This window comes from Homo sapiens, chromosome 12 (genome assembly GCF_000001405.40).
Source record: "Homo sapiens chromosome 12, GRCh38.p14 Primary Assembly".
Classification (NCBI taxonomy): domain Eukaryota; kingdom Metazoa; phylum Chordata; class Mammalia; order Primates; family Hominidae; genus Homo; species Homo sapiens.
The window spans coordinates 59,754,556-59,778,026 of record NC_000012.12 but is presented as its reverse complement, the minus strand read 5'-3'; the positions used below and the strand labels follow the sequence as shown (position 1 = coordinate 59,778,026).

The following is a 23,471-nucleotide window of genomic DNA, read 5'->3' as shown; positions in this document are numbered from 1 at the left end:
GCACATATACACCATGGAATACTATGCAGCCATAAAAAATGATGAGTTCATGTCCTCTGTAGGGACATGGATGAAACTGGAAATCATCATTCTCAGTAAACTATCGCAAGAACAAAAAACCAAACACTGCATATTCTCACTCATAGGTGGGAATTGAACAATGAGAACACATGGACACAGGAAGGGGAACATCACACTCTGGGGACTGTTGTGGGGTGGGGGGAGGGGGAGGGATAGCTTTAGGAGATATACCTAATGCTAAATGACGAGTTAATGGGTACAGCACACCAGCATGGCACATGCATACATATGTAACTAACCTGCACATTGTGCACATATACCCTAAAACTTAAAGTCTAATAATAATAAAATAAAAAATAATAAAAGAAATATTTTAAGGATTAAATAATAATTAGCCTAATACCTCTAATAAGAAAAAAAAAAGAATTTTTTAGCATCATCAAGAAACCAGATATGCTTTCCAGAACTAAAGCTTCAATTCTTTCTGAGAGGAGCAGTGAAAGTTCAGTCTGAAAAAAACAAATATGAAATAGAAACCACACACTCCCTACTTTTCACTGCTGTGCTGCAACTATGTAAGACGTAACAGCAATAATATTCAATCATTCAAAAATATTAACTCAGTGCCTACTATGGGCCAGCAGTTCTAGCGATAATCAAATACTATAGAGAAGAAGCCAATCTAAAAGTCAAGAAATATTACGGGTAGCAGATGGCAGACATGGAATGAAAAAATGGATATATAATGGCTACAGTCTGAGAGTTTCAACAATAGGTCTAAAATCAATTATTGCCATTTGCTGCCAGTGGCACATGGTTTGGCAATGTTAACACAATAAGCATTCAAAAATATTGAAACTGTTTTTTAAAAATATTAATGCACATTATCTGCTCAGGTGGGAGTGGCCAAATAAGATTCCTTTATTTTAATTCTTAGAGTCTATCCCCACTATGTATTTGGACTTGATTCTTTTTTCATCCCCTCATGCATGGTAACTTCTCTGTTTACACTAAGAATTGTGTGGATAAGAATAGGCTCTAAAACTCAGTTGATCAAACTAATTCCGTATGAAAAGAAGGACCAATTGTGCTTATCTTATGTAACAAAATCAACTGCCTGATAAATAACAAGACCTACTGGCTTTCACTCTCTTTTGACAATTGTTTTGATGTCATGGTATATTTATATTGAGAGATATACCACCTAAAACACCTGTGCTAGATACCATAGGATAGCCCTGGTGGACAGAGAAAGACAACAACCACACCACCTAGGTCTTAGAGCCGACTGATACATTCCTAACCAAGTGAAAAAAAAATGAAGAGACAAAAGGTCAATGATGTCATTAAAATTAACAAATTAAACATAACTTTTCACACTTTCAGAATGGTTCCTTGATGTCATGTAGAAAACAGTTTAAAAACTGACTAAATAATGGAAAAATTTACATTTAGCCTGGCAATGACTCTGACCATGAGAGAGCAGGCCAAGAGTCTAAGTGAATACTTAAGTCCGGTATTAACCAAAACAATATACATTGGTTGCTGGCAAAGGCTGGTGCACAAACAGAATGTAATATTTATAACATTTAAAGTCTAAGACTAAACAAAGTTTTAACTTCAAAATGCTCTGATACATGTCTTTAAACCATAAGTTCAGAAGGCATAATTTACTTCTAAAAGCATTCACCACTGTAATTCAGAAGGAAACTATAAAATAACCACAAGCAATTCCAACAAAAATCTAATGCTTCTGTAATGTACATTTTATCTATTTCTCTCTCTCTCTCTCAAGTATTAGACCAGCTTCTCAATTTGTGAGGGTATTCTTTGGTCATGCTCTAAACATGTACTGCATCTTTTTACTGAATAATTTAGCACAGACACTTTTATTGGCATCTTTGAAAATATTTCAGATCTTAAAATCTGAAGGTAATCTTTCCAATTTATAAACATGGAACATGAGTGGCCCTCAAAAAAACTGTGAATAAATTTTCGGTCATCCCTGTCTTTCTCTATATGGAATAGATACATGAATATATTCTTATCAGTGATATTATAAATGTATTTTCTCAGCATGTAACAAATTTCAAATTAATATATCCAATGTACTCAACTAAAAAATAGATTCTGACCTTTTGAGAGAATATTTTACAATTTTGGCTCATTTCAATATAAACAGACGAGAGATCTGTTCACCAATGATAAAGATAAAATAGCATTTTTTTCTGATATATTTTTAAGAGACCAAAACAACTGAAGTAGATAAAAATCCTGAAGATTATGTTACTAATTATCAGTCTAACATAAGTTCTTAAGTTCACAGGTCCAGGTTCTGAAACAAATTTAGTTCTAAAATTGACTAATTATGAAATTTTAAAGTTTATAATAAAACCTAAAATTAACCTGCCCATATTCCTTCAGGCTATTAGTATTATTATAAAACACATTTAAACATCTGTATATAAAGTCTCCGTTAATGGATATTAATTTTATGCTTTACATTTTCCTTGATGAAAAACGTTCTTACCTGCAAGAGGAGGGCCAAGAAGAACTGGGCCACACTCCACAATTGTGACAAGTCCGACGGCACTGGAAAATCTTGGTGCACCCACGAGGTCCATGAGAGTTTCAAAGAGAACACTGCTAACACTCCCAAATCCAAGGCCAAAAAATACAGCATATAATACCAGGCTTGTGTAGTCCTGTGCCAGTGGGCACAAGAGGTGACACACTCCATTGAACATGATTGCAAAACTGAAGAAGTACTGAATTCGAGGTCGAATATATTTGGAGTTTGCAATTAATCCTACAGAAGGCCTAGCAAACATATCAACGAAAGCCATAACAGATAGCAGAAAAGCTGCCGAGTACTCATCAATTCCTTGGTCTTTAGCATATGGAGCCAAGAATATAATGGGGGCAAAAAAACCTAGGAACATAATGACATTTCCAGACAGATATATCAGAAATCCTCTATGCTTAAAAAGGGAGAAATCTAAATACTTATTAACTTTTTCCCAAGTTGATTTCTTCGTTTTGATTTTCTTTGGGCTTGAATCATCTTCTGTTTTGCCAGTCTTATTTTTAGACTTAGAAGTGGTTTGATTGGGTCCAAGGGGTCTCATGAGGGAACCAGCCACACAGGCATTCAAAAGTAGACTTCCCAAAATCAGGAAGCTTCCTTTCCAGCCAAAAGTATTAAAAAGGTACTGATTGAAAGGAGCCAATGAACTTAAGAAAACAGGACTTCCTGCCATGGCCAATCCATTTGCCATGGGTCGCTTCCTATAGAAGTATTTGCCAATTATGGTTAAGGCGGGTTGCAGGTTGAAGGCTAAACCTAAACCTAAAAAGAACAAAACAAAAGTGGGGGAAAACACAAACACATTATGGCACTCACAAAAGAAATTACTCCTCAAAATGTACATTCAAGTGGGAAAGGCAGAATTAAAAACGCAATATCATATAGTACATTTTGATTATTATAAATGTAATTGCACAAAACAATAAGGTTTTCATAACTGAACACTTGAAACGACAGTTTCATTTCAAGTTTAATTCCTTTAATTTTAAAGCACAAAAATGAAATTGAGAATTTCTACTGATATATCAACAGTCGTACAATAGGTTGAAACTAGGACAAAATTATTAGTTCTCAATTAAAATCATTTAATTCCTCAGATCCTTTCCTCTTGACATATACTTATATACACATATATAGAATAGATTTCTTCCTTGTGAGCAAGAGGGCAATATAAAAATGAATACTTTCCTTTCGGCATTGAAGAATTATAAACAGACTAAAAAGGTCGTAATTTGTAACAATCTTATGTCTCCCCACAAACATTTGTTTCAATACTATGCAAATAACAAAAATTTCATGCTGTACATCCCTCACAGTCCACATTTAATGTATATAGATGCACTTGTGTGCTAAGTAAAAAGGAGGTTTTTGCTTGAAACATAGTTTTAATTCAGGGATTAACACTGATTGTTTATATGAGCCAAAGTCCCACTGTCTAGGGAGTTCCTTGGCAGTGTTGAGTATCACCTTTGGAAAATAAATTACCTCTTGTAGCTCACTAAGGCACTACTGAGCAATTGTAATAAATAAGATCCTTTAAAAAGTACATTGATTTAGGCCGGGAGTGGTGGTTCATGCCTGTAATCCCAGCACTTTGGGAGGCCAGGGCAGATGGATCATGAGGTCAGGAGATCGAGACCATCCTGGCCAACATGGTGAAACCCCGTCTCTACTAAAAATACAAAAATTAGCCGGGTGTGGTGGCACATGCCTGTAATCCCAGCTACTTGGTAGGCTGAGGCAAGAGAATCGCTTGGACTGAGGAGGCGGAGATTGCAGTGAGCCGAGATCATGCCACTGCACTCCAGCCTGGCGACAGAGCAAGATTCTGTCTCAAAAAAAAAAAAAGTACATTGGTTTATATAAAATTGGGCTTATATAAACTATCTCTTGTTTTCCCTTAAACTAGGAATTACTCTATATTTATTTTAGGGGCTAGAGAGGTAAGAGTTCTTCTATATTAACTAATTTACCTAGATTGAAACAGTTCTGTAAGGTGGTTAAGTATTCCAGTTGTGAAATACACAGGTCTGTGTACAAATACTCCAACCCTTTAATACAGACATTTTCTATAAGTAAGAGGACCCCTAAAAGCTGACAAGAAGGAACAAGAACATGCTTTGGAGAGTAACAGGACAGCATGTTCTCTAACGCTATACCTCAGCCATACCTGTGAGATATGCAGAATGAGTGTAATTAAATCCGATTTATAAATAACAAAACTGACCAGCCTATGGTCAAGTAGCTTGTAAGTAGAAGAACCCAAATTAAAATCCAGGTATTATGTTTCAGAGCTTAAGGTTTTTTTTTTTTTAATCTTATATCAATCATTTTCCCCATTCTGTCGCCTGGAACTTTTGCCTTCAAATCTTAATCCATATTTTCATTTGGAAATAGTTGCCATCTCTTTCTCATTCTGGCATGGTTAAACAAACATAGGCTTGAAATCAATAGAACTGATCTACTCCAAATAGGTACCTATTTTATATTACTGGGCAAAACACTTAGACTTCCTGAGCTTGACTTCACCTAACAACACAAAAAGATTTTGCCAAAATAAAGTAAGTTTTAGAACTGTAAGATATTATATAAATGGTATTATGATTATTTGCAAATATTTATTTATGATCATCAAAATTCTGGGTACTCTAAAGTACTACGTATTCATTTTTTACATTTTTCTAATAACTCCTTTAAAAAGAGCTATTATTTATCTAATTTTATAGACAACGAAAGTATAAGGAGGTTAACGTACCCATGATCACACAGATCATATGTATCAAGTTTAAATGCTAGATCTGTCTACTTTTGGAAACCAAAGTCAAAGTATTTGCTGATAATGATTTAAAGTAAATCCCTCATAGATGGACTTAATAATTGAATTTGGGGGCATCAAAGTATTTAAGAGCCAAAGGAATACAATTCTAAGTTGAAACACCAATAATGCCATTGATATCTGTAGTGAAGGAAATAACAAAATCATCTTTTCCCTACTTGTAGGCGCATCCCGACTTCTACAGTCAAATGCAGTAGTCAATTTCTCTACACAAAAGAAAAGGCACTCTCTTCACTATGATAATGCTTACATATAAGACGGTTTTCATTTACAATATTAAATGCATTTTGTTATATCAAAAAAGGAGAGAGATGTGGATAGATTGTAAAGAGAAAGATTTTAACATCACTATTACTGTAAGCTTCAATACATGTTTTTCATCAAATGATGCATGAGTGTAAGATTACATGAGTGTAAATATGTTTGCCTTTTTATCTCTGGGCAGAAAGAAAAGATTCAGTCTCTTTATATATTGAAGTCCAATTTTTCCTAATACGTTGAATATAAATTTGTAATGCAATTTTTTATTTAGACTAATAAAAATAGTGCTTTCCGGGTGTACATATTGTGGTCATTTTGAGTCAATAGATATGTGCATGAGAAACAACTATCATCAAGTGACAGTAGGTCATTTTTAATATTTGTGTTAGAAGAAAGTGTGGCTCACTGAGCTTTTAAACAGGATCATTTCAGTAAGAAAAAGAAGGAACACGGTTAATGAGCTCTACCACTAATCAGAACAAGTAACAATAATTTTATTGTTAAAGCTAAATCAGTGCATCCAGAAAATATCTCTCTGGCATCGTTTTAACATATTATGAGTGGAAAGTCAGATACTGCAAATGCAGATAAGTCATGAAAATAAGTTTTATAATAACGAAGGTATTTATTTACATCAGAAAGTCTGTGTCCAACAACACCATCTCCATTGGCTGAAGAGAAAAAAGCAAAAAAGGAAAAAAAGCAAACTAAAGCTGTTTTCTTTTTAAATTTATATGATAACATGTAACTTGTCTGATAATTTTTTATTTTTTTAAAAATGAAATGTTTGCCCATTATATAGCTTGAATTTCAATGTACTAGATGAAAATATTTTAAAACTGCATTGTTTATAAAAAAATAAATTCAAAGAAAATAAGAATTTTCTGTTGTTCATTCTTCTCATAGAGCTTTGAAAATAACAGAAGAGTTAAGAATAAGCTGAAGACTAAATGGCTTACCTGTAATGAATCCCATAGTGAGGTACAGCTGTACCACGCTGCTACTAAAGGAGGCCAACACCATTCCAAGACAGCATAATAAGCCTCCTGCTATCACCACCGGCCGGCTGCCGTATTTATTCACCAAAACACTACTTACAGGACCTACAGCAGAGAGGAGATAAAGAAATACTCAGTTGCTCTTGTCATTTATTTGTTTATCTTTAACATCCAATCATTTGGAAAGGCAAGAAAGCACATTTTAATGGTCAGAGGAGAAATACTAGTTCACATGAAACATAATGAGAACTTTTCAATACTTCACAAATGATCAGTTTGACAGGTTATTTTCAGTCATATGTATAAAAGCACATGAAATAATAAATTAGAAGTGTTGAACATATATTTCGTTGTAACCATAATCATTCAAATCTTGATGGAAAAGTTTTTCAATAGAACATACCTAAAATATCCAAAACATCTTAAAAGATGCAAGTAAATTTATGTAACAAAAAAATCTAGGAATTACATAAATGACTTGTCTGTTAAAATTTTATTTTCTAGAATAATGTGTCTGTATTCACATACATATGCCATTAATTAGAGCTGAAATTGTTTTTTAAAATTATCTTCAACAGTGATTTTTCTTTAATACTATAATTTATTGATTCTAAGACACCTATTGTTTTCACATCCTATCATATTAGCATAAAGGATGTCTTACACCTAATGACTTTTTCCAATATAGGTTCATCAAGAGGCAGTCATAGGTAGTAATGTTGTTATCATGGACTATGCATGTCTGAATTTGGTTATTATTTCCTGTGGCTTGATTGGACAATGCTTAATCACATTTCAGTAGAACCTTTTAAGGAGCATTTGAAAAATGAATATAAATATAAATCCTGATTTTTGACAGGAAAATCTTCTGTTGACACGTTCTAGTAAGGTGGAGTAAATAGCAACATCAAAACTTAAAGATTGGGTGTAGCTCTTTAGATGAAATCACTGGAAAAATGGTGGATCTCTCTGTTAAAATATATTGCACACTGACAGAATAAGCTTAGGTGTGAGATGTGAATGTTGAAAACTCAGACTCCAAAGTAATTTAGAAGAGTCCGGTAGTGAAAGGGAAGAAGGTTTAGGAATGCCTTACCAATTTTTTAATGTATATTTTCCAATGTATGTCTGTGTGTGTATATACATAAAATATTCACAAGTGATTAAAATTATTAAAATAATCTGCATTTAAGTCTAAAAAAGTTCTTTTAGTAGTTATAAAAATTCTAAATGTTAAGAAACTGTGTTTTACTTCAGTGACAGCATTATTTTCTTTCTTGGTGTACTATAAAATAACAGTGTAACTTAACAATTGAGACTATCTTAGACTTGATTAAATTCCATAGTACTTTATGGGACTTGTCAATGTATAAATGGCTTGCTTTCATATTTCATTCTTAAATTAAAATTGTATTTCATCTGAAACTAGGGACACTATTTGGAGGAAATAAATACTAGGTTAGGTCAGAATTTTCAATCCAATATTTGGCCTAAAAAACATAATTTTTCAGCTAATACTATGGTATTAAGAATTTCCAAGTGTATTGTATTTGAGAATTTTTACATGGATCATATATAAAACACATTGAGATTCACTTATCAATGCACTCATATCCTTTTATACAAATATAATTATTATTTTTATTCTGCAAAAAAATTTAAAATTAAACTTCAGTGCCTAATACTATTAACTCCACAATATCTTTTGAAAGAATATTGGTAATAACACAATTTCAGAAAGAGATAACTCAAACACAGAATACAAAAGTTTGCATTTATAATAGCAAGCAACATAAAACTTTAAAAAGGCCACATGAAAGAATGCTCTATAAAAACAACAGGGTTTGGAGGGAAGAACTAAAAGAAAATTGTACAAGTTGTATAAAAAGAATATAATTCTGTCCCTAACATGGTAAAGTTCACCTGAAGAGCTGAAGAAAATAAATTATACACGTAGAGAATATATATAACACATATTATATAAGACATACCTCAGAGACACTGCAGGTGAGGTTCCAGAGAACCTTGATAAAGTGAATATTGCAATAAAGTGAGTCACAAATTTTTTGGTTTCTCAGTGCATATAAAAGTTACGTTTACACTTTACACACTATATTAAGTGTGCATTGAATTATATCTAAAAAGTGTGCATAACAATTAAAAATATTTTATTGCTAAAAAATGTTAATGATCATCTCAGCCTTCAGTGATTTTCAGTCTTTTTGCTGGTGGAGGGTCCTGTTTTGATGTTGATGGCTGCTGACTGATCAGGGTTGGCAGTTGCTAAAGGCTGGGGTAGCTATGGCAATCTTTTGTTGTTGTTGTTGAGACAGAGTCTTGCTCTGTCACCCAGGCTGGAGTGCAGTGGATCGATCATAGCTCACTGAAGCCTTGACCCCCTAGACTCGAGATCCTCCCAACTAAGTCTCCCTAGTAGCTGGGACCACAGGTGTGTGCCACCATGCCTGGCTATTCTTTTTAATTTTTTTCATAGAGACGGGGCCTTGCTATGTTGCCCAGGCTGGTCTTGAATTCCTGGGCTCAAGTGATACTACCACCTCAGCCTCCCTAAATGCTGGGATTATAAGTGTGAGCCATTGCACCTGGCTGGCAATTGCTTAAAATAAGACAAACAAGTTTGTTGCATCAGTTGATTCTTCCTTTCATGCTAGATTTCTTTGTAGCATGCGATGTCATTTGACAGCATTTTACCCACAGTAGAACTTCTTTCTAAACTGGAGTCAATTCTCTCAAACCTTTCCACTGCTTTATCAACTAAGTTTATGTACTATTCTAAACTTTTGTAGTTATATCAACAATATATACAGCATTTTCATCAGAAGTAAATTATATTTCAAGAAACCACTTTCTTGGCTCATCCATAAGAAGCAACTCTCCTTGATTCAAGTTTTATAAGATTGCAGCAATCTAGTCACACCTTCAGGCTCCACTTCTAATTCTAGTTCTCTTGCTATTTCTACCACATCTGCAGTTACTTACTTCACTGAAGTCCTGAGCCTCTTAAAGTCACCCATGAGGATTGAAATAAACTTCTTCCAAACTTCTGTTAATGTTGGTATTTTGACCTCCTCCCATAACAGTGAATGATCGTGATGTTATCTAGAATAGCAAATCCTTTCCAGAAGATTTTCCATCTCCTTTTCCCAGATTCATCAGAGGAGTCATTATGTACGGCAGCTGTAAGCTTACAAAATGTATTTAAATTTTTTTATTATGCTTTAAGTTCTAGGGTACATGTGCACAACGTGCAGGTTTGTTACATATGTATACATGGGCCATGTTGGTGTGCTGCATCCATTAACTCCTCATTTACATTAGGTATATCTCCTAATGCTATCCCTCCCCCTTCCCCCCACCCCACGACAGGCCCCAGTGTGTGATGTTCCCCTTCCTGTGTCCAAGTGTTCTCATTGTTCAATTCCCACCTATGAGTGAGAACATGCGGTGATTGGTTTTTTGTCCTTGCGATAGTTTGCTGAAATTGAAACTTGAAATGACTCCTTGATCCATGAGCTGCAGAATGAATGTTGTATTAGCAGGCATGAAAACAATATTAACCTCCTTGTACATCTCTATCAGAGCTCCTGGGTGACCCAGGTGCATTGTCAATAAGCAGTAATATTTTGAAAGGAACTTTTTTTCTTAGCAGCAGGTCTCAACAGTGGGCTTAAAATATTCAGCAAACTACGCTGTAAACAAATGTACTATTATACAGACTTTGCTATTCCATTTATAAAACACAGGCAGAACAGATTTGGCATAATTATTAAGGGCCACAGATTTTGCAGAATAGTAAATGAGCTTTGCTTCAACTTAAAGTCACCAGCTTCATTGGGCCCTAACAAGAGAGTCAGCTTGTCCTTTGAAGCTTTGAAGACAAGCATTGGCTTCTGCTATCTACCAATGAAAGTCCTAGATAGCATCTACTTCCAATAGAAGGCTATTTCATCAACACTGACAATCTGTTGTTCAGTGTAGTCACCTTTATCAATGATCTTAGCTAGATCTTCAGGATAACTTGCTGCAGTTTCTAATCAGCATTTCTTGCTTCACCTTTCACTTTTATGTTAGCAAGATGGCTTCTTTCCTTAAACCTCATGAATCAACATTTACTAGCTTCTAGTTTATTTGCATACTAGAAGCTAGTAAATGTTGATTCATGACGTTTAAGGAAAGAAGCAATCTCGCTAATAAACTAGAAAATCTAGAAGAAATGGATAAATTCCGCAACACATACACCCTCGCAAGACTAAACCAGGAAGAAGTTGAATCTCTGAATAGATCAATAACAGGCTCTGAATTTGAGGCAATAATTAATAGCTTACCAACCAAAAAAAGCCCAGGACCAGATGGATTCACAGCTGAATTCTACCAGAGGTACAAGGAGGAACTGGTACCATTCCTTCTGAAGCTATTCCAATCAATAGAAAAAGAGGGAATCCTCCCTAACTCATTTTATGAGGCCAGCATCATCCTGATACCAAAGCCTGGCAGAGACACAACCAAAAAAGAGAATTTTAGACCAATATCCTTGATGAACATCGATGCAAAAATCCTCAATAAAATACTGGCAAAACGAATCCAGCAGCACATCAAAAAGCTTATCCACCATGATCAAGTGGGCTTCATGCCTGGGATGCAAGGCTGGTTCAACATACAAAAACCAATAAACGTAATCCAGCATATAAACAGAACCAAAGACAAAAACCACATGATTATCTCAATAGATGCAGAAAAGGCCTTTGACAAAATTCAACAATCCTTCATGCTAAAATCTCTCAATAAATTAGGTATTGATGGGACATATCTCAAAATAATAAGAGCTATCTATGACAAACCCACAGCCAATATCATACTGAATGGGCAAAAACTGGAAGCATTCCCTTTAAAAACTGGCACAAGACAGGGATGCCCTCTCTCACCACTCCTATTCAACATAGTGTTGGAAGTTCTGGCCAGGGCAATCAGGCAGGAGAAGGAAATAAACGGCATTCAATTAGGAAAAGAGGAAGTCAAATTGTCCCTGTTTGCAGATGACATGATTGTATATCTAGAAAACCCCAATGTCTCAGCCCAAAATCTCCTTAAGCTGATAAGCAACTTCAGCAAAGTCTCAGGATACAAAATCAATGTGCAAAAATCACAAGCATTCCTATACACCAATAACAAACAGAGAGCTAAATCATGAGTGAACTTCCATTCACAATTGCTTCAAAGAGAATTAAAATACCTAGGAATCCAACTTACAAGGGATGAGAAGGACCTCTTCAAGGAGAACTACAAACCACTGCTCAAGGAAATAAAAGAGGATACAAACAAATGGAAGAACATTCCATGCTCACGGGTAGGAAGAATCAATATCATGAAAATGGCCATACTGCCCAAGGTAATTTATAGATTCAATGCCATCCCCATCAAGCTACCAATTACTTTCTTCACAGAATTGGAAAAAACTACTTTAAAGTTCATATGGAACGAAAAAAGAGCCCGCATTGCCAAGTCAATCTTAAGTCAAAAGAACACAGCTGGAGGCATCACGCTACCTGACTTCAAACTATACTACAAGGCTACAGTCACCAAAACGGCATGATACTGGTACCAAAACAGAGATATAGACCAACGGAACAGAACAGAGCCCTCAGAAATAATGCCACATATCTACAACTATCTGATCTTTGACAAAACTGACAAAATCAAGAAATGGGGAAAGGATTCCCTATTTAATAAATGGTGCTGGGAAAACTGGCTAGCCATATGTAGAAAGCTGAAACTGGATCCCTTCCTTACATCTTATACAAAAATTAATTCAAGATATATTAAAGACTTACATGTTAGACCTAAAACCATAAAAACCCTAGAAGAAAACCTAGGCATTACCATTCAGGACATAGGCATGGGCAAGGACTTCATGTGTAAAACACCAAAAGCAACGGCAACAAAAGCCAAAATTGACAAATGAGATCTAATTAAACTAAAGAGCTTCTGCACAGCAAAACAAACTACCATCAGAGTGAACAGGCAACCTACAGAATGGGAGAAAATTTTTGCAACCTACTCATCTGACAAAGGGCTAATATCCAGAATCTACAATGAACTCAAACAAATTTACAAGAAAAAAACAAACAACCCCATCAAAAAGTGGGCGAAGGATATGAATAGACACTTCTCAAAAGAAGACATTTATGCAGCCAAAAAACACATGAAAAAATGCTCTTCATCACTGGCCATCAGAGAAATGCAAATCAAAACCACAATGAGATACCATCTCACACCAGTTAGAATGGCTATCATTAAAAGTCAGGAAACAACAGGTGCTGGAGAGGATGTGGAGAAACAGAAACACTTTCACACTGTTGGTGGGACTGTAAACTAGTTCAACCATTGTGGAAGACAGTGTGGCGATTCCTCAGGGATCTAGAACTAGAAATACCATTTGACCCAGCAATCCCATTACTGGGTATATACCCAAAGGATTATAAATCATGCTGCTATAAAGACACATGCACACGTATGTTTATTGCGGCACTATTCACAATAGCAAAGACTTGGAACCAACCCAAATGTCCAACAATGATAGACTGGATTAAGAAAATATGGCACATATACACCATGGAATATTATACAGCCACAGAAAATGATGAGTTCATGTCTTTTGTAGGGACATGGATGAAGCTGGAAACCATCGTTCTCAGCAAACTATCGCAAGGACAAAAAACCAAACACCACGTGTTCTCACTCACAGGTGGGAATTGAACAATGAGAACACATGGACACAGGAAGGGGAACATCACACACCGGGGACTGTTGTGGTGGAGGGGGAGGGGGGAGGGATAGCATTAGGAGATATACCTAATGCTAAATGACGAGTTAATGGGCGCAGCACACCAACATGGCACATGTATACATATGTAACAAACCTGCACGTTGTGCACATGTACTCTAAAACTTAAAGTATAATAATAATAAAAAACAAAAACAAAAAAATGTACTAGCTTCAAACTTCTCTTCTGCAGATTCCTTACCTTCAGTAGAATTGAAGACAGTTAGGGCCCTGCTCTGGATTAGGCTCTGGCTTAGGGAATGTTGTGGGTGGTTTGATCTTGTATCCAAACTTCTAAAACTTTCTTCACTTTTCCTTTGCATTCACAACTTGGCTAACCTTAGTGCTAGACACCTAGCTTTCAGCCTGTGCTTTCAGCACCTTTCTCATTAAGGTGAATCATTTCTAGCTTTTGATTTCAAATGAGAGACTTGCAACTCTTCCTTTCACTTGAACACTTAGAAGCCACTGTAGGTTTATTAAGTGGCCTAATTTCAATACTGTTGTATCTCAGACAGTAGAGAGGCCCTAGGAGAGGGGGAGAGATAGCAGAACAGCTGGTCTATGGAGTAGTGATAATGCACACAACATTAAACTTACCCTCTTATATGGGCACAGTTCATGGCACCCAAAAACAATTATAATAGCAACATCAAAGATAACCATAACAGATATAATAACAATAAGAGTTTGAAATACTGTGAGAATTACCAAAATGTGACACAAGACACAAAGTCAGCACATGCTGTCATGAAAAATGGTGCCAACAGAGTTTCTGAAGGCAGGGTTGCCACAAACCTTCAATTTGTAATTAATGCAGTATTTGCAAAGTGCAATAAAGTGAAATGCAATAAGTAGAAGTATACCTGTATTTTAATTTTTTGATTTTTTGCCTCTAAATGATAAAAAGGCAGTATAGTTATTTTCATTTTTTAAGTTTTGGTAAATGTTTTTGAGACACTTCTCAGAAATGCTAAGTTTATTGACTAGAAATAATCTTTTTGTTAATCAGATGGTTTCCAATTTTCTGCTCTTCACAATATTGAGGGAAGATTCAAGTGAATTGTCAGTCCACAGATCATTACAAATAATTTTTGATAATAAATCATTATGTGATTTTTGGCAAGTTCAAATAATTGACTAATACTGAAAATAAAATACTTTCCACTGTCATCTACTTTATTATGTGAACAAGTTACTCAGCACGTACCTCAATTAAAAACCAAGAAAAACCAAGAAAGAAATATAATTGAGACAAAAACCTGTATCTGCTTAACTAGCACTAAAAATTATTCATCTATAGATATACAGGATGCCTATTGATTTCATTAAAAGGGACATTTCTAGTCAATGTTTACATTTTATTCAGTAATTATCTTATTTTGATTGAATCTGCTATAAAAGTATAATAGAATATTTTAACCATGTAGTCTTATGATCCCAGAAAATTTTTAAAAATTAGATGTATGTGCAATGTTTTTGCAAATAAAAATAAAATGAATTAAAAATACTTAAACCCATGAAAATAATTTGCAGAGATGTAACAAAAATATAAGTTCAAATGTAGATTGAATACAGAATTTATCATTTTTCTGTCCCATGATCATTCATTCATTTATTTTTAAATGATTGATACTGAGCATCAGATTTTTTTTTTTTTGAGAAAGATGTGGTCTCATTATGCTGACCAGCTTCAAGTACAGTGGCTGTTCCTAGGCACTATTATAGTACACTGCAGCCTCAAACTCTGAGCCTCAAGTGATCCTCCCACCTCAGCCTCCCAAGCAGCTAGGCCTACAGTCATGCTGTACTTAACCAGACTAATTTTGATATTGAGATTCCATTGTTGTTTTAGAAAGAAGTTACTGTTTCTGTTCTTATGCAAAAATTTGTAGTAGAAAGAAAATTCAAAAGAAATTTTTAGACCTTTTTTAGTTCTGGGAATGATTGTTTTACATTGAATATGTCCCTTACGGACAATTTGCAGTCAGTGGATAATTTTAGAGATATAAATAAATAATACACAAGCAACAGCACAGCTTTTCAGAATTTTATAAGACCTTTCATTCAATTCACAATGTGTCATAACTATATAAATAGTATAATAATAGAAACGTACTTATGAATTTATCGTAACACATTCCATTTCGATATTCAAGCTAGAATGAAACAATTCAATAAGAAAGCTTTTCATGAAGAGTTTCAAGAGAGTGTATAAAAAGAAAGGCTCCATATTCATCCCATTGCATTCTGGCTTATGACACGAAAATTGTAAAAAATTTCTCAAATAGCAGGTGAAAAACAGAACAACTTAGACTCCAGAAACAGAGAAAATTCACATGACACAGTAGAATGACAAAGACCCTCTCCATTTGTTCTCCTTGAGTCAGATTACATTACAGAACAATTCAGCCAGAGCTTAAGTATACCACTCATTGTATATCGTGGTAGCCTGATGAGGGCCCAAAGAAAGATGGAATCCCCTTAATACAGTTGGCATAATGAGTAAAATCATATATAACATTGCATAAACACCATGTGCTACTGATTTCTCCCATAAAATGACCATGTTTAGGACTTCTCTTTTAGTAAATATTGTAATGATGCCCAGATACCATGAAAATGCTCTGAATTTCTGTTTAAAGCCTTGAAACCAAGGGAACAAATAGATAAATATGTGAAAACAAATGAGTAGCCCTGCCAAGAGCTTCCTTGGGCATTTTGGCATTGTCACTTCCAAGGAATTATGCCTGGGCCTCAGCCATTTACTCCTGTTTCTTGACAAGAATGTGTGTAGTTCACATGAAATAGCTACTGTTTAAGTTGATGTTCATTGATTTACACATGTACTCATGGTACATATTTTTAGAGAGCAATCTATGCTACAAATAAAACTATATACTACAATTTGGTATCATTGTGATTAGTTAGAAAGAAAAATTAAATAAAATTTATATGAGCCAAACAAGGCAATGGTAATAAAAGAGTTGAACAAATAGATTCAGATGTAAACAATAGTCTATGGTAAATCACTGTTTTCTGTACTCTTTGTATAACAAATTACTAGAGAGTCATATAAATGCATTGAGATTTTATATGTGCCATTACCAATAATAAAGCATTTATGTAACTTAAGTAGTACATTTACCAATCCAAATACTGGAAAAGTTAGAAACCTAACCATCAGACTTTAAGAGAATATAAATGCTTCTAAAACAGAAGATGAAAAAAGAAATCTAAATCTTATCAACCAAGTATTTAACAATACAGTTTCATGTACCTAGGCATGATCCTGATTGAGTAAAGCTGCACTGAATCCTCAAGGATGTGAAGATCAAAAAGCTTTCAAATATTCTACCTGTAAACACAAGTACATTTTGCAGTAACTTCTTCAATTAAATATCATATTGTCAAGACGTGATTTTTTAAATATTTAAAGTATTTGAAGACTAGTTGTTTAAAAAATACACGTGGTTTAATATTTAACAGAAGAATCCATGCACAATGTTACGATATATTTCACTAACAACAATGAAACGATTAACCAATCTGCTCCTTGCTTCATGTCTTTTTATTTCAGTAGTCCCCCTTACCCAAGGTTTCACTTTCAGCGTTTCAGTTACCTGTGGTCAACAAAGGTCCAAAAATATTAAATGGAAAATTCCAGAAATAAATAATTCATAAGTTTTAAATTGTGCACTGTTCTGAGTAGCATGATAAAATCTCGTGTTGTCCTGCTTCAACCTGCTTGGGATGTGAATCCTTCCTTTGCCCTGTGTATTCACGCTGTATAGATTACCTGCCCATTAGTTACTTAGCAGCCCTCTTAGTTATCAGGTTAACAGATTGCAAGAAGAAAAAAGGCAAGTATAGTACAGTAAGATCTTTTGAGAATAAGAAACCACATTCACGTAACTTTTACTAAAGTATATTATTGTTCTTTTTTATGAATTGTTGTTAATCTCTTCTTGTGCCTATTTTAAGGGCATATAGTGTTGAGTATTATCTGTGATTTCAGGTCATCACTGAGGGTCTTAGAACATATCTCCCACAGATAAGGAGAGATTACTGAATATGCGATTGTGAGTTTACTATGAAATGCAGCTTAATCTCCAGAGCCCTGCACTTTTATAGGTCACTTCCAAGGACCTGGGAGGACCTAGAGATGTGTTCACATGGTCATAAGCTTAATAAAATTTGAAAGGTAAGACAACATTCATATTTTTCTTTCTCAAACAGTTTTTCCCAAATGGTATAATTTTTAGAGGGAATAAAATCTAGATTTATTCCTGGAAATGCCAATGCTTTTTGTCTGCACTCTACATAAAAGTCTCAAGTTTAGATTTATTTTAGTTTCACAAGGCCGAGTTTGAATTGTTTTGTTCTTGTAATAACGGGTATAGTTTCTGTGTATTTCTCAGACACTAAGATCTATGATAGATTTTTAAATTAATGTGATCCATAAAACTGGGAAAATTCCAGGGTGTTCACAAGAAACATATTTATTTTCTCTATGGCCATGAAGATCAGAGGCCATCTATTTTTGATCTACACATAAATCTCATTAGAAAAACATAATTGCTAGGTTTAAAATGTCATGCTAATATTAGTTAATTGTGCAATTTAAGGAAGAAAAAAGATTGTTTATAGGAACTGACCAAAAATAATTCCACAGAAAAGATAGCCTTTAATATTGCATAAGTTATCCTAAACACACCACTGCATTGTTCTATATCTCAGAGGCAGAGCATCAGAGCATTCTGAAATAAAATATTTTCCCCTGAATTTATCTCAAATACAGCCTACAAATATTTTATAAAATATTTACTATTGTGCCTTAATAACATAAATCACAAGAAAGATGTCTATTTACATTCATTAATAAGACTGTTACTTTTCTTGAAATATAAATATTGTTTTTCATAGTTCAGTAATCTGTAAAGAAACATTGGGACGTAAATAAAAAACTGTATTCTAAAGGCAAATGATAAAATTAAAAGTATCTGGCAAATAACCGACAAAATAAGAACTTCAAGGATATAATTTACCATGTTTCTTTGCATCCCTAACTATTGTCAAGAGGTTTTAAGAAAAATGCCCATAAATATGAAGTAAATCTTATTCAGTGAACAAGAAAATGGGGTCCTATTTTAATGACCCTCGAATGTTTCCAATGGTATATAAAGAACAGACTTTAACAGACAGATAAAAGTGCAGCTATGTAGATAGGCACATAGAAAGATGGATTGATTTTAACTCAACTACTATGCTAGATACTTCTTCACACTCTACCCTAAATACTATAAAATATATGCTTACTTTCATAATTCTGAAGGATAAAAGTTCCAAGTTACATGGTTATTATTAAAATACTCAGTAGTCATCAGATTAGATTAGTATATGTAGTAGTAGATTAATAATATATGTCCAGTTTCAGAATGTACATGTCTTTCCTTAAATAGAAAAAAAAGTCCATACAGAAGACTCATAAAAAAGACTAATGATTGACCCAAAATATTTTCCATATCAAATTATGTAATACAGCTGACAGCCCTTAAAAATGGCAACAAGACTTGGAGATGAAACAATACATACACGCATTAAAATAATGTTATCCTAAAGCTATCTGACAAATGAAAATGAATTTGTCATAAATTGATGCCCAAGAACCAGTTCACTGTGAATTACAGACTTATCTTAAAACAAAGTGGCACAGAGATGTGCATGTGGTACTGTAGCAACAATAAATAATTATCATAGTTAAGAAATTTGTTAAATTTATAGAAATGCCAATCATATGAGACAGTGGTTTACACATTCTTCTCAAATACATATTATGTACATATAAACTGGTAATCATTATGATTCCATTCACATTCTGCTGGGTCTATCTCTTTTTTTGTTTCTCCCTGCTTTATTTTTTTACATCAATATTATCATTTTATTCTATTTGTGTTATGAATTATTATGATTGAATAAATACCCTATAATAATTATGCTATCTGTTGTAGAGATTCTACTCCCCTTTTTGAGGATACCTCATGCTAGTTTCATTAAAAACAAAGTTTTAACATTTAAATGTAAATTGTTCCCATCTTCCTTTGTAGAGGAAGTAGCATATGAGAAAATACAGTATCTGCTGGAAAATATAGAATATCCTTTAATAAATTAAAATCTAATAATTATTCCTAAGTTTTCTAAAATCTTTCTGAAAAATTTATTTTACTGTGGTAAGAACACTTAACATGAGATCTAGTCTCAACAAATTTTTAAGTGTACAGTAAAGCATGGTATAGTTTTTTTCTAATTTTTTTTTGTTAATTGACAAATAAAAATTACATACAATTGACCCTTGAACAACACACTCTGTGTATGCAGTTTTGAATGCATGGAGGATTGGTCCCCCTAACCCTTGTGTTGGACCCTGTGTTGTTCAAGGGTGAATTGTATGTAATACTTATTTGTCAATTAACAAAAAATAACTAATAGCTAAAATGGCTAAAAAACTAATAGCCTTCTGCTGACTCTGGAAGCTTTACTGATAACATAAATAATAGATTAACGCACATTTTGTATATGTATTATATACTGTCTTCTTATAACTGAAGCTAGCAAAAAGAAAATGCAATTAAGAAAATCATAAGGAAGAGAAAGTATATTTACTATTAATGGAGTGGAAGTGGGCTATCAAAAAGGTCTTAATCCTCATTATCTTCACGTTAAGTAGGCTGAGGAGGAGGAGGAAGAGGAGAAGTTGGTCTGGCTGACTCAGGGGTGCCAGAGATGGAAGAGGTGGAGGAGGTGGAAGGGGAGGCAGGAGAGGCAGGAGAGGCAGGCACACGGTGTAACTTTGTGAAAATACACAGAAATTTCTGTCTGACATTTTTGCACTTTCATTTCTCTAAAAATGTTTCTATAGAGGACTAATCTTCTTCCACCATTTTGCTTTAGTTCCAGTGCCTGTATCATAGAAGAGTGCAAGTCATGAAAAAAATCAAAAGCAGTCTTGAATAATTAGAACCCTCTGTCAGATTATCTAATGTCAATTTGTTTTCTGGAACTACTTTGTCTTCTTTTTTTATTATTATTAAAGTTCTGGGATACATGTGCAGAATGTGCAGGTTTGTTACATAGGTATACACGTGCCATGGTGGTTTGCTGCACCCATCAACCCGTCACCTACATTAGGTATTTCTTCTTTTTTTATTTTATTTTATTTTATTATTATTATACTTTAAGTTTTGGGGTACATGTGCACAATGTGCAGGTTAGTTACATATGTATACATGTGCCATGCTGGTGTGCTGCACCCATTAACTCGTCATTTAGAATTAGGTATATCTCCTAAAGCTATCCCTCCCCCCTCCCCCCACCCCACAACAGTCCCCAGAGTGTGATGTTCCCCTTCCTGTGTCCATGTGTTCTCATTGTTCAATTCCCACCTATGAGTGAGAATATGCGGTGTTTGGTTTTTTGTTCTTGAGATAGTTTACTGAGAATGATGATTTCCAATTTCATCCATGTCCCTACAAAGGACATGAACTCATCATTTTTTATGGCTGCATAGTATTCTATGGTGTATATGTGCCACATTTTCTGAATCCAGTCTATCATTGTTGGACATTTCGGTTGGTTCCAAGTCTTTGCTATTGTGAATAGTGCCGCAATAAATATACGTGTGCATGTGTCTTTATAGCAGCATGATTTATAGTCCTTTGGGTATATACCCAGTAATGGGATGGCTGGGTCAAATGGTATTTCTAGTTCTAGATCCCTGAGGAATCGCCACACTGTCTTCCACAATGGTTGAACTAGTTTACAGTCCCACCAACAGTGTAGAAGTGTTTCTATTTCTCCACATCCTCTCCAGCACCTGTTGTTTCCTGACTTTTAATGATAGCCATTCTAACTGGTGTGAGATGGTATCTCATTGTGGTTTTGATTTGCATTTCTCTGATGACCAGTGATGGTGAGCATTTTTACATGTGTTTTTTGGCTGCATAAATGTCTTCTTTTGAGAAGTGTCTGTTCATGTCCTTCGTCCACTTTTTGATGGGGTTGTTTGTTTTTCTCTTGTATATTTGTTTGAGTTCATTGTAGATTCTGGATATTAGCCCTTTGTCAGATGAGTAGGTTGGGAAAATTTTCTCCCATTTTGTAGGTTGCCTGTTCACTCTGATGGTAGTTTGTTTTGCTCTGCAGAAGCTCTTTAGTTTAATTAGATCTCATTTGTCAATTTTGGCTTTTGTTGCCATTGCTTTGGTGTTTTAGACATGAAGTCCTTGCCCATGACTATGTCCTGAATGGTAATGCCTAGATTTTCTTCTAGGCTTTTTATGGTTTTAGGTCTAACGTTTAAGACTTTAATCCATCTTGAATTAATTTTTGTATAAGGTGTAAGGAAGGGATCCAGTTTCAGCTTTCTCCATATGGCTAGCCAGTTTTCCCAGCACCGTTTATTAAATAGGGAATCCTTTCCCCATTGCTTGTTTTTGTCAGGTTTGTCCAAGATCAGATAGTTGTAGATATGCAGCGTTATTTCTGAGGGCTCTGTTCTGCTCCATTGATCTATATCTCTGTTTTGGTACCAGTACCATGCTGTTTTGGTGACTGTAGCCTTGTAGTATAGTTTGAAGTCAGGTAGCGTGATGCCTCCAGCTTTGTTCTTTTGGCTTAGGATTGACTTGGCGATGAGGGCTCCTTTTTGGTTCCATATGAACTTGAAAGTAGCTTTTTCCAATTCTGTGAAGAAAGTAATTGGTAGCTTGATGGGGATGGCATTGAAACTAGAAATTACCTTGGGCAGTATGGCCATTTTCATGATACTGATTCTTCCTACCCATGAGCATGGAATGTTCTTCCATTTCTTTGTATCCTCTTTTATTTCATTGAGCAGTGGTTTGTAGTTCTCCTTGAAGAGGTCCTTCTCATCCCTTGTAAGGTGGATTCCTAGGTATTTTATTCCTCTTTGAAGCAATTGTGAAAGGGAGTTCACTCATGATTTGGCTCTCTGTTTGTCTGTTATTGGTATATAAGAATGCTTGTGATTTTTGTACATTAATTTTCTATCCTGAGACTTTGCTGAAGTTGCTTATCAGCTTAAGGAGATTTTGGGCTGAGACAATGGGGTTTTCTAGGTATACAATCATGTCATTTGCAAACAGGGACAATTTAACTTCCTCTTTTCCTAATTGAATACCCTTTATTTCCTTCCCCTGCCTAATTGCCCTGGCCAGAACTTCCAACACTATGTTGAATAGGAGTGGTGAGAGAGGGCATCCCTGTCTTGTGCCAGTTTTCAAAGGGAATGCTTCCAGTTTTTGCCCATTCAGTATGATATTGGCTGTGGGTTTGTCATAGATAGCTCTTATTTTGAGATATGTCCCATCAATACCTAATTTATTGAGAGTTTTTAGCATGAAGTGTTGTTGAATTTTGTCAAAGGCCTTTTCTACATCTATTGAGATAATCATGTGTTTTTTGTCTTTGGTTCTGTTTATATGCTGGATTACATTTATTGGTTTGCGTATATTGAACCAGCCTTGCATCCCAGGGATGAAGCCCACTTGATCATGGTGGATAAACTTTTTGATGTGCTGGTGGATTCGTTTTGCCAGTATTTTATTGAGGATTTTTGCATCAATGTTCATCAAGGATATTGGTCTAAAATTCTCTTTTTTGGTTGTGTCTCTGCCCAGCTTTGGTATCAGGATGATGCTGGCCTCATAAAATGAGTTAGGGAGGATTCCCTCTTTTTGTATTGATTGGAATACTTTCAGAAGGAATGGTACCAGTTCCTCCTTGTACCTCTGGTAGAATTCGGCTGTGAATCCATCTGGTCCTGGACTCTTTTTGGTTGGTAAGCTATTGATTATTGCCACAATTTCAGAGCCTGTTATTGGTCTATTCAGAGACTCAACTTCTTCC

At 34.8% G+C, this 23,471-nt stretch overlaps 1 protein-coding gene across 14 annotated transcripts in view; it reads right to left on the bottom strand.

The window, feature by feature from the left end:
• The window catches only part of SLC16A7 (solute carrier family 16 member 7), a 193,813-nt gene that overhangs the window by 11,815 nt on the left and 158,527 nt on the right, over positions 1 to 23,471 (bottom strand). For 5 of the 14 annotated variants that reach the window (NR_073056.2, XM_011538989.3, XM_011538992.3 and 2 more), the window contains 3 exons: positions 16,825 to 16,902; positions 6,665 to 6,808; positions 2,552 to 3,370 (listed from right to left, as the gene is read on the bottom strand). Coding sequence is in view for 12 of the 14 variants with exons in the window: in XM_011538989.3 (XP_011537291.1) it covers positions 2,552 to 3,370; positions 6,665 to 6,808; positions 16,825 to 16,902 (1,041 nt within the window). In the remaining 2 variants the exon portion in view is untranslated. Of the gene's footprint in view, positions 1 to 2,551; positions 3,371 to 6,664; positions 6,809 to 9,703; positions 9,909 to 13,746; positions 16,767 to 16,824; positions 16,903 to 23,471 lie in introns of those variants that run through there. The other 9 variants (NM_001270623.2, NM_001270622.2, XM_024449276.2 and 6 more) reach the window with 4 other exon arrangements.